This window comes from Homo sapiens, chromosome 8, assembly GCF_000001405.40.
Source record: "Homo sapiens chromosome 8, GRCh38.p14 Primary Assembly".
Classification (NCBI taxonomy): Eukaryota; Metazoa; Chordata; class Mammalia; order Primates; family Hominidae; genus Homo; species Homo sapiens.
The window spans coordinates 98210085-98222694 of NC_000008.11; the positions used below are offsets into that span (position 1 = coordinate 98210085).

Below are 12610 nucleotides of genomic sequence, written 5' to 3' on the forward strand. Positions count from 1 at the left end.
CATGTTGTGTTTAGTTATAAATCCATTACTTTTCTCTTTTCTATTTCATTAATTTTTGCCTTTTTAATTAATTTTAATTAATTCTTTCTGCTTTCCTTAGCTTTATTTCAGTATTTTTTCTAATTTCTTGAGTTGAATGCTTAATTGACTTACATTTAAAGCAATCAATCTCTCTGAATACAGCATTAGTCATGAACTCTAGGTTTAATATTAAGTGCTTTAATAATAATTTAAAAATATGCTGCAATTAAATCTTGGTTTGTACTTTGCACAGCTGCAGTTTAAGGGTAGTGTTAACATTTCCAGGTGGTAGGGTTTTACTGGTTTCTATTTTTGTTATTATTTTTCTGTTTTTATTTCACTGTGATCTGAGGATGTGGTCTGTATTCTTTCAACTTCCTGGAATTTATCAAGGATTTCTTTATGGCCAATTATAGGATCAACTTTTGTAAACGTTACACAGGCACTTGAAAGAAAGTTTATTCTCTGTTTTCAGGATTTAGAGTTCAATATTAGAGGTACCAGTTCATGATTAATTATTCAGATCCTCTGTCTTTATATGGGTTTCTGTCTAATTATCTTCCATGAGCTGAGAGAAGTCTCCTAACCCCCTTATATTTCTGTTAGTGTAGTTTTGCATTTTCTGCAGATTTTCTGTTGCATATTGGATATGATATTTTGTGGATTGTGCTCTTTTTGTCAGGATAAATTACCCCTTTTATCTCACTTAATATCTTCTGCCTTAATTTTCATTTAGTAATATCATGACCTCCTGCTTTGTTTTACTTTCAAGCTGATTTACCTTGTTTTAGATGAAAATTTATGCATGTAGCCAAAACACTTCGCAACCTGCAAGGGCCAATCAGAAAGGGTGCTGGCTGTGGCACTGCTGGAAGAGGGTCCTGGAGAACCCCTGTCTTAGTATTTATCATGACGGGGCTGGGGTTGAGAGGAGCAGATATTAGGGGAAGGAAGCATGGTGGCTGCTATTTGAATAATCCTTACAGCTGTACTAGTGCAAATTGGCTGAATCCAATTTCAGAATCATTTTCAAAATCAATCTGGAAGTTTCCCTGATGTCCAATTTGAGAATATTTCTTTTCTTTTTTTTACTAGGTAAACGTATTCCATTTACATTTATTATCATAACTGCTATGCATTATCTTAATTCTGTTATCTTACATTCCTATTTAAAGTTGGCTTCATTTTCATTATTTTCTTATATAAGGTACATTTTGTTTCTTAGTTGTCTGCTTTTGTTTTCCCTACTTGGTAATTTGGAAAGAAACAAATATAAAGTTCTCTTTCTGTTCTCTTGATCTATAGCATACCTGAATATAGCACAGAGTACATCTGTTTCTATAAGTAACTATCAAAAACACAAATTTTCTAGTACAAAGGAGAGAACTAGTTGATGAGATAGGAACATGAAAACCCAGCACCTCGTTAACATGGAGGCTGCATACTGCCCCAGGGGTATGAGTACAGCCTTCCAAGTCATGGCAAACAGCACATGATGTGTGGGCCATCTGACTGGCTAAGAGGAAATGAAGATTTACAAATACATTTTTTTAAAGGGAATTTCCTAAATGATTAGTGAGATCTCCTAGTGTTGGTATATATGAGTGAGAGAGAGAGAGAGAGAGAAAGTGTGTGTGTGTGTGTGTGTGTGTGTGTGTGTGTAGGGGTGGGGGAAAGAGAGAGAGAGAGAAAGAAAGAGACAGGGACAGAGAGACAGAAAGACACAGAAAAGGAGAAGGGAGGGAAGATACATTAAAAATACATAGTGGGCTTATCTAAGCACTCATTTTCAACTCTAACAAGGTGCCTCTGGAAAAACAAAGTAAATGGGTTGGTAAACAATGAATGAAAGAAATGTGATATTTAAGAAAATCATACTGCTTACATCTACATTTCGTATTAGTCATATTATAGAGTTTTTAAAGAAAATATAAATAGTATAGGTCTTGCTAACCAATTCCTGACACAAGAGTTTTAATTGGGATCATTAATTTGTTTCTCTTTTAAGATTTTCAATTACTTATTAACAAAATATCTTCAAATTATCAGGGAGCAAATAAAGTTATCAAGAAGCAAAAAATCCTTAAATGTATTTTTTAAAAATTAAATATATATCAATTGCAGTAATGGACAGGCAACATATAATTTTTATAATTTAGACTCAGTTTCTTCCTATAGATCAGAGCTGAAAAATATAAACCATGAGAAAGGAGTAGAATGCTTAAGTATTTTCCTTCAAACCTCATTTATGACTCAGCACAGCTCAATTAAAGAATAAGAAAACAAAATATGCCTTTACCTAGAATTGCCACCAGGGTTAGCAGAATCACCATATGCTTCATTCCTTTTCTTTTATAGAAATACAGGAGAATGCAGAAAATTAATATTTCTAAAATCTAGAAATGAAAAAGATGGAAAAGAGTAAGTTATTCTATGCAAAGTCTTCAAAATGTCACACTTCTCATTTTGATTTTGCAGCAATTCTCATATGAGCGTTGAGGGTGACTGAGGTTCCTAGGGATGACACAGGAGAGCAGTATAAGCACCTCGGCCATCCAGACCCAGAGCTCGAACGTCCCTCTCTGCCAGGGATGCCCAAATCTAGATCTCCAGTCCTAACCTCCCTGGAAGTTCAGCCTCATTTCCCCAAGTATCTATGAGACATTTCCACATGCATGTTTAATAGACACGCCACAATAATGTGGGTAACACCTCCCACTAGATTCCCTACCTTCCCAGCTTGTTCCTCCAGGGCCTTTGCCTGCCAGTTAGTGGCATTCCCACACTCCGTGTTGCACAAACCCCAAACCCCTTTCCCTCACTCCCTGCCTTCCTCTCTAGACAGCTGCATTTGCTTCTAACTCATCTCTGATTTTACTCTTGCCTCTCTATAATCCAGCCATTCCACAGCCAGAGGAATCATTTAAAAACACAATTTGGATAATGAAATATTTTATTCATAGAGAACATATATGATGCACATCAAAGGGATTTAGAGTAATATGACAGGCACTCACAGAGTCTCTACCCAACCTAAGAAACAGAACGTACCGACACCTCTGAAGTCTCTCATGTGCCCCTCTCCAGCTGCACTCCCCTCCTCCTTCAACCTCCCCAGGAACCACTACACGGAAAATCTGTGTTTATCATTCACTTTCTTTATGGTTTATCACATTTTTATATGTCCCTAAATGGTACCCAGTTTATTTTTGCATGTTTGGACTTTATACAAGTGGAATCATACTTGCTTTCACTTGCTTGCTTTTTTTCACCATGTATTATATTTGTGACATTCTTCCAGGATGATGCATGTAGTAAAAATATAAACTAGACCCATTCATTCCTTTGCTGAAACCTCCTGTGGTTTCCTATCACATTTAGAATAAAATCCAAACTCCCTCCTGGATCATAAAGTCATAGGCAACTCCCTGGACCTAATTTTGTACCACTCACTCCTGGATGGTCCACTCTGTGCCAGCCTCATGGCAATTTTTAAAAATTCTTTTTTTTTTTCCTAGTTCTTTGCAATCTTCAGATTGCTCCTGCCTGTGGGCCTTTGCACTAACTGTTCACTCTGCCTGGAATGCTCTTTCACTGATCTTTGCACAATGCCTCCTCCAAGTCACTCAGCTCACAGGTCAAATGCCACCTCTCTGAGAGTTCTTTTCTCACTCTTCTGATCTAACAGAGCCACTCATTATCCTGTCACACCCCCAGCTTCAGGTTGCTGTGGAGCATTTTGCCGTCATCATTTCTTGTTCATATGTTTATGTGTTTCTTGTCTGTCTTCCCTACTAGAATGCCAGCCCTAGAACAGGAATCTTACCTACTCTTTTTGCCACCCAATCTCTGGTGCCTGGCATACAGTCGGTCACTCAATGAGTACTGATGGAATTAATGAGTAAATCACACCTCAAATTTATTATGAATAAGTTGCCAAAAAAGACCTAATGTCTAATAAACTGTTCAATAAATATTAATTGACTGAAAGTCTAAAATTTTCCTGTCCTTAAGAACTTTAGTGTAATTTTGAGTTCTCAGTTTTATTTTTGTTTTAACATCTTTTTTTTTTTTTTGAGATGGAGTCTCACTCTGTTGCCCAGGCTGGAGTGTAATGGCACAACCTCAGATCACTTAAACCTCTCCCTCTTGGGTTCAAGTGATTCTCTTGCCTCAAACTTCCAAGTAGCTGGGATTATGGGTGCCCGCCACCACGCCCGGCTAATTTTTGTATTTTTAGTAGAGACAGGGTTTTGCCATGTTGGCCATGTTGGTCTTGAACTCCTGACCTCAAGTGATCCACCTGCCTCGGCCTCCCAAAGTGCTGGGATTACAGGCATGAGCCACCGCACCCGGCCCAGGCTATTATTTTTGACGAGATGGTATTCTTGGGCTGAATTTGTAAGTATGAATGTTTACTTATCTAACAGCAGACAGTACCATCACTAATTTTTTTTCTTTTTTTTTTAACCACAGGAGTTAGGGACCTCACTCTTTTGAGGAATGCATTCTACCTACAACGCCCTCTCTAAATCAACTTAAATTTGTTTCCATTCAAGGGTTTGCTTGTGGGTTTGTTTTTTTCTCTAATCCTTTGTGGGCATGGGAAACAGCAGGCCCTTATCTTCCTCATTTAAAAACCTTTTCATCTAATATGGAAGATGAACTCATCCCTTTGTCTTTTCTTCTCCGGGTAAATTAAACCAATTATTTTAACTGTTTCTTATGGGACTTATTTGCCAGACCTTTGATTTAATTGAGTAGTGCTACAAAAGCTATTAAACTCGTATCTCTTTGCCTTCCCTAAAACAGCCATCAAAACATTGGGTGTCCTAATTTCTGTCCATTTCACCAATTGTTAACAGAAATATCCCTCTGGGCCCAGTCTCCCCTCAACCACAGGCTTCCATTTCTCGCATGAGACAATTATAGACAATTCACAGCAGCGTTTGGGCCGCTGTATTTGTTGCTGGAGAAAAGAAAGCTCTTCCTGTGTTAACACACAGAGCCTATTAGGTAAATCGATTCTCATGCTGATTATTAATTTTTGCAGGTATTTGTTATCAGTTCTAGAAACCATGTATGACTTTTTTCATGTGTGGTTAAATTCCATCTCTGTGGCTTCAGATAAATAAAACATGAGTTCCCATTATTCACAGAATAACTATAGTTGCCCTGGTTCTGCCTTGTGGCAAGAAGTCACACTGCTCCTAGGAATAAAATATTAAAGCAGTATGAATTAATGCTGATTTTTTTCTAGCAACATTTTTTTTCTCCCTGAAAACATCAATATTAAAGAAGCTGTGATTTCTGCAGGTTGCGGTGCCCCAGGAAGAGGCTGCATTATTGATTGCAATCTCACAGGTTAGAAAAAGTAACAGCACTTACTGTGTGTCCCCCATACCCTGTGCACTGTTCTCAGAGCTTCCTGTTACGAATTCGTTGAATCCTCACAACCATTTAGGAGGTAGGTGCTATCATCAGTTTACAGGTGAGGAAACTGAGGCTCAGAGGGGCTAAATGATGCAGCTCTGATAGGCAGCATAATGGCCCCCATAGAAGTCCCTGGTCTAATCTCTAGAAGCTGTGATGATGTTACTTTACACAGCAAAGGGGTTTTGTATTAGGTTGGTGGGTTGGTGCAATTCTTCCTTCCTTTGTTTTCTGTACCAGATCAGAGGAAAAGTTCCTGGGCCTTGTACCTGTGAGGTTTCCATTTGATGTAAGCCTTGAAGGAAAAATAGACAAAAGTAGACAATTTTCAATTTGTCAAAGTAGTTACTTTCAGTGGGAAAAACCTCAATTAATTTTGCATCAACCTAATACAAAGAGCACTGGCAGCTGAAGGGGTGTGTGGCAAAAGAGATAGACAAAATTTTAGCACTGGATGCCCCACTGCCAGTACCAATATCTGAGCCCGATTTGACCTCATCTTCCCTCACTAAGTTCTCAAATGCATAGCCTATGGCCATAGCATATGGCTTCTCTGTCTAAAACAAATGAGCTCTGCAAAGGTTCTCTCTAAGGCCATGTTTGGACAAAGATCTGATCCTTGGTAGTCAGTTTATTAATTCTGCAGAGAGGCATTGAGTGAGGTGTATTGGCCTGTGCACCCCAGAAGTGAACAAACTGGTTTTGAATTCTGGCTTTATCACTTAGTACTTACGTGACCTTAAACAAGTTCCTGGGCCTTCTCCAGCCTCAACTTCCCCATCTATCAGATGCAGAGGATAACAGTGGCCCATGTATACGGCCAGTATGCAGGTAAAGAACAGAATGTAGTCTGAGCTAGACATAGGGCTCAGCCACTCTGCTACCGAAGAAGTGGACCCTTGTGTGGACACACAAGTGCTATTTGCATTCAGACAATAAAGCAAATAACATCATGCCATAGATATTGATGTCCTATAAAAACATACAGTTTTCTCCCTTAGGTTTCTAATACCTGATGGTGGGTTTTGTTGCAGCTTTGCCAGAAAGGCTGACTTAATAATCCGGTTTAGGGTACAGAATGACACCAAATGACAGGCTTGGCCCCAGCATCTGCTGATTTAATTTTTTTGTCTGAGAGAAAATGAGCAATGTGCAGATTATTTTGTGAAGGATTTTATGTTCACAAAAGAGGTTCCATTTGAATAATCTTTTGGAAAATCTGGGTGAGCAAAATAGCCATGACCAAGCCTGCCAAAGAACATGAAGTAATTGAGAATCAGGGCTGCATTTTCTAACATGGTTTTTGCAGAACACGTTTGCTCATAGGTATTACTCAACAAAAGGTCCTTCCAAGAAAAGGGCCTCATGGTCAAATAAGCCTGGGCATGTAGGATTAACAAAATCAAATCTTTCTCATTCTTACAGGACTTATAGCTTTTAACATGCTAACAGAGATGATGAATTTCTCAGACAGGCCATGTTATGCAGAATCTTTCTCACCTAGTTTGACCTTGAAAACTCCACTCCTCTTTGCATTTTGGCAAGGATGGGGATTGCCCATCTGCAGCAGACAGGCTGGGAAAGGCTGTTTTAGTGAGTGCACTTTATTCTTCTCTGGCTGGTATACACTGGGCTTCTCAAATCTTCCTTCCTTTCTTTTCTGTACCAGATCAGAGGAAAAGCTCCTGAGCCTTGTCTCTGTGAGGCTTCCATTTAATGTAAATCTTGAAGGAAAAACAGACATCTGTCTGGGGCACGCAAACACACAAGACAAGGGGTTGATGTGAGCCAGTGGGTGCCGCACTATTATGATTCCTTTTGTGAGAAATATAAAATGTATTCAGGCTTATACATATTTTAGAAGTTATTTGATCAGTCCCGAAAGCCAATTCAGGTGCTCTTATTTATACTTGGTATAATACATAGAGTTAGATGAATGATATGTCAAAGAATAGTCTTAATTACTGTAATTATTATCTTTGCAGCCAGGGCTTGCAGAAAAGCACAGAATTTGCCACATCTGAGGATTAAATATTACTTAGATGTTTAACAGATTCAAACCAAATTTCAGCTCACAATCTTAGTATAAAATTCATCACTTCTAGAGTCTTTAGAGATGCAATTATATAACGAATTAGATTACAAATGAATATAATATAGATCTATTCTCCTTAGAGTCTAATGCCAACAGTATTATTCAAAAGTGACTTTATTAAAGGTTTATTTTATGCTATGTTATAAATACCTGAAATTATTTACATTTTTCTCTGTGGCATTTACTTTCAAATATACTTTCTTTATCTTAATATGATTTTTCAGATATATGGGTTTCTCCCAGAACTGTAAAATTCCTGCTACGGGAATTCCTTTCTCTAAATTTGGTGTCTAACCACCACTTAATGGATACGTGAATAAATGAACGAATAAATTTATTTTAAGAGTTGATTTTGGAAAAATGGCAAACTGCAATTAATCTCAGTACTTTTTGTGGAAATACACAGCTTAATAAAAAGTAGTTTGGATCTCTTCAAATGTTTTCTCTGGTGTTAAAGCAATACAAGATAGATCATCATTAAACAATGCTGTTTATTCCAGGAAGTAAGTCTTGATGCATCTTTAATATACAAAGGATTTAACTCACGCCATTAATTTTCTCGTTTCAGGCTATGTGACCCTTTTCTTAACTAGATGAAGAATTTATTTTGCCTGCAGGCAAAGAGTAATAATTTGTTGGTAAGGCTTCAAGTCTGGACTATCATGAAATTTTCTGTAAAGTATAAAAAACAGAACTAAATCACAGAGATTAGAACTCCTTCTAGTGCTTATCACGGACTGATGAAAGCTGTGATAATTAAAGAACTGAGTGTGGCATAAAAGTAGGAAGATAAATGGGGCAGAGGGGTTGGCACAAAGTATGACAGACCCGAGACAGGCAATCTGAGTTGGGAAGCCCAATCTTAAAGCCTGAAGGAGGGCAGTGGTGAGGGGAAGAGCTAGGAAGTGACAGCACTAGGGTAGAAATAAGGCCTATGAAAATGAATTTCAGGACCATAACATATGAGGATCAGGGATTTAAATAGGCAGGGCACTATGACTGATGGCCTGAGTGATACATTGAGCAACCAATACAAGTTCATATCCTGAAGAAGTGCAGGGTCTTCTGGAATAAGACAGGCAGGTAAATAGATAAAGAGGTCCAATCTGAGCCATGCCCATGAGGGTGAGTTTTCAGGGGTCATAAGGAGATGGGGTTGTGGGTCAAAGGAGGTAGGGGAGGCAGACAGGTACAACAGCACTGCGTTATGTGGCTGGAGGGGGCTCACTGGTCAGGTTTGTTTATTAGGAGGAGCTTGTACCAGTGTTGATGACGAACAGCAGGGGGAGGCAGCCTTATTAAGAGGCTGCTGACACAGTCCAAACAAGAGATGGTGGAAGCCTGAATTAATGCAACAGGAATGGGAATGTGAAAAGGGGGTCAAGTTCAAGAGACTTTACATTTCCAACAGGATCAGGGGTAGGAGTGAGGAATGAGGGTGAAGGAGAAGTCATGTGTAGTTTAGGTTTCCAGTATGGGAGGCTGACATGGAAGAGAAGAGAGAGTTTGGGGGAGAAGATAGTTTGGTTTTTGATATGTTACATTTAAGGAGACTGTGGGACATCCAGGGTTGAGTAATAAGTGGACAGATAAGAATATAGATCTGGAGCTCAGGAGGGGCCTGGGAAGGAGAGGTAGATCTGGATTAGGAAGTATTTCAAAAGGATGCTGGTGGATGGGCAACGGGATTCTTTTAGAAGACGTTGGAAGAGTGTGCAGCATCAATAGAAGCAAGGCAGAGGAAGAGGAAGTGCTCAAGAGCCTGGCATGGATTAGTCAGAGAGGAAGAAGAGAGACAGGGAAAACATTTGGAGGAAGCAAGGAGGACAGAGGTTCCAGAAGATGATGGGCCAGGGAGTAAATGCTGCATAAGGTTCAAGAAGAATCAGGACCAAAAAAAGCAATTCCTTTGGCAATTCATGGAGAGGAATTTACTTCCCCAGACTTCTCCTACACCCTCATTCGTCACTCCTAGCCCCCTTCCTGTTGGGAATGTAAATACTCTAGAACTTGGTCCTTTTCTACGTTCCCATTCCTGTTGCATTAATTCAGGCTTCCATCATCTCTTGCTTGGACTGTGTCTGCAACCTCTTAACAAGGCTGCCTCCCCTGCTGTTCATCATCAACACTGTGTGTACAAGCTCCTCCTAATAAACAAATCTGACCGGTGAGCCCCCTCCAGCCACATAACGCAGTGCTGTTCTATCTGTCTGCTGTTCCCTCTGCTAGCAAAGTCCCCTACCTCCTTTGACCCACAGCCCCATCCACAGATTGGAATGAGTGAAGAGTTAGTGGGAGCTAAGGAAGTGGACAGGGCCAGCAAGAGTAGACTATTTGAAGACATTCTTGGTATAAATGGCAGGAGGGATATTGGACAGTTTATTAAAGGGGTGTGTAGTGTATGAGAATTTTTTTTTTTTTAAACAGAGAAACCTAAGTATCTTTGTAGGGCAAGAGAAAGGAGTAGAAAAGGAAACAAAGGAAATGAAAGTAAAAAGATCTGTAAGTATTTGTGTTCTAGTGGTCAGAATACATATCAGAAATGGCAGGATATATAGAATTCTTGTCATATACACTAGGAACTGCTTCGGTCCTGTACTTAGAGCAAAATTTCCTCAGTAGACATGTCCCTGTAAATGCCAATGTCACACTTTTCAATACTAGGCATATAAAGTAGGATCATACTATTTTACCTGTTTTAATGGCAGAAGGCTAGACCAGTTAGCTTTTGAGGTCATTTCTAATTCTAAAAATGTATAATTCTGTGTGCTTTGATTTTTTTTTTTTTTTGTCTTGAGACAGGGTCTCACTCTGTCACCCAGGTTGGAGTGCAGAGCTGCAATCATGGCTCACTGCAACCTTGACCTCCTGGGCTCAAGATCCTCTCATCTCAACCTCCCAAGTAGCTGGGACTGCAGGTGCATACTACCATGCCTGGCTAATTTTTAAAATTATTTGTAGAGTTGAGGTCTTGTCATGTTGCCAGACTGGTCTCAAACTCCTGGGCTCGAGTGATTCTCCCACCTTGGCTTCCTGAAGTGTTGGGTAACAGATGTACACCACCACGCCCAGCCTAATTCTTTTTATTGATTTCGCAACCATTTTACCAAACCGGTTCTTGGTTAAATACTCAGCTAGACTATCCCAGTTTTCTTCTTATTACATACCCTTCCTAGAATATTATTATTCCCCAATCTATACTAACTTCTGTGACAAGTTGCATATCAGCCCTTTCGATCATATTCTTTTTTATACCTACAGATACAGCCACTGCATCAAACAAGATAACCCAGTTAACACCTTCATATTTCTCTATCAGTTCATTTCATTCTTTTTTTTTTTTTTTTTTTTTTTTTTTTTTGACAGAGTTTTGCTCTTGTCGCCCAGACTGGAGTGCAATGGCACAATCTTGGCTCACGGTAGCCTCTGCCTCCCAGGTCCAAGTGATTCTCCTGCCTCAGCCTCCCGAGTAGCTGGGTTTACAGGTGTGTACTTCCACTCCTGGGTAATTTTTGTATTTTTAGTAGAGATGGGGTTTCACCATGTTGGCCAGGCTGGTTTCAAACTCCTGACCTCAAGTGATCTGCCCGCCTCGGCCTCCCAAAGTGCTGGGATTACGGGCGTGAGCCACCGTGCCCAGCCTCATTTCATTCTTTTATACATCTCTTGGCATTGTAGTACTGTTGTGTGCTCCTCTCAGACAGTCTGTGGCATTGATCTCAACAAGGACTTTTTTTTTTTTAAATAAATCACTTTAATCTTTTTCACTGGAAAAATTAAAGATATAAAATTTAAAATATAATAAAAGAGAAAAATATACAAGTTTAAATATTTTATATTGGTTGAGAGTACTAATGGGAATGTAAATGAATATGGAAATTTTGGAGGGCAGTTTGTCTACATCTATCAAGTTTTTTTTTAAATTATTATACTTTAAGTTCTGGGATACATGTGCAGAATGTACGGTTTTGTTACATAGGTATACATGTGCCATGGTGATTTGCTGTACCCATCAACCTGTCACCTACATTAGGTATTTCTCCTAATGCTATCCCTCATGCTTATCATCACTGGTCATTAGAGAAATGCAAATCAAAACCACAGTGAGATACCATCTCACGCCAGTTAGAATGGCGATCATTAAAAAGTCAGGAAACAACAAATGCTGGAGAGGATGTGGAGAAACAGGAACACTGTTGGTGGGACTGTAAATTAGTTCAACCGTTGTGGAAGACAGTGTGGCGATTCCTCAAGGATCTAGAACTAGAAATACCATTTGACCCAGCAATCCCATTACTGGGTATATACCCAAAGGATTATAAATCATTCTACTATAAAGACACATGCACACATATGTTTATTGTGGCACTGTTCACAATAGCAAAGACTTGCAACCAACCCAAATGTCCATCAATGATAGATTGGATAAAGAAAATGTGACACATATACACCATGGAATACTATGTAGCCATAAAAAACAAGGACTTTTTTGAAGAGAACCCCTATTTTGAATAAAGTTCAGTAAAGCAAAATGTGTCCTTAAGTATTGTCCCTTCAACTTGGAAGGGAATGTTTTTTTTTACTCTGAGTTTTCCTAAAACGTATTGCTCTGGAACTTGGTGGATTAATCGATGTGGAAATTGTTCCAGGAAAGGATACCTGGGAAACTAAGGGTGCTTCTGTTGCTGACTTAGTATTTCAAATACTTTGGTATTGGTCAAATACATTTAGATTTTAATAAGATATTAGTGCTGGTAAGGAAAAGATTATGTTCTCTAATATCTGCATGGACCAGTGGTCTGGATAATATAGCTTCGGGGATAGTAAAATATTTAGAATTCTTACCACATAGATCAGGAACTGCCATCCGACAAGGTAATACTGTACTGTTCTTGCTGAGATTGCCTGAGTTATATTTGGAGCAAAGTTCACCAGTAAATATGTTCCTGCAAATGCCAGTGTCGTACCTTTAAATAAAATTGAAAAGAAAAACCAAATTGAAACCAACCTAAAGCTTTTGTTGACGCAGACATTGCCTAGAGACTGCGCATTACTTGTAAA

At 39.0% G+C, this 12610-nt stretch overlaps 1 protein-coding gene and 1 long non-coding RNA gene across 10 annotated transcripts in view; one reads left to right on the forward strand and one right to left on the reverse strand.

Moving 5' to 3' along the window:
• The window catches only part of NIPAL2-AS1 (NIPAL2 antisense RNA 1), a 72899-nt gene that overhangs the window by 33615 nt on the left and 26674 nt on the right, over positions 1-12610 (forward strand). The window lies entirely within an intron of this gene.
• NIPAL2 (NIPA like domain containing 2) overlaps positions 1-12610 on the reverse strand; it is a 104410-nt gene that overhangs the window by 20259 nt on the left and 71541 nt on the right. For 5 of the 9 annotated variants that reach the window (NR_135745.2, NR_135746.2, NM_001321636.2 and 2 more), the window contains 2 exons: positions 12395-12516; positions 2321-2417 (listed from right to left, as the gene is read on the reverse strand). Coding sequence is in view for 5 of the 9 variants with exons in the window: in NM_001321636.2 (NP_001308565.1) it covers positions 2321-2417; positions 12395-12516 (219 nt within the window). In the remaining 4 variants the exon portion in view is untranslated. Of the gene's footprint in view, positions 1-2320; positions 2418-2956; positions 5750-6954; positions 7203-12394; positions 12517-12610 lie in introns of those variants that run through there. The other 4 variants (NR_135747.2, XR_928352.4, XM_011517302.4 and 1 more) reach the window with 4 other exon arrangements.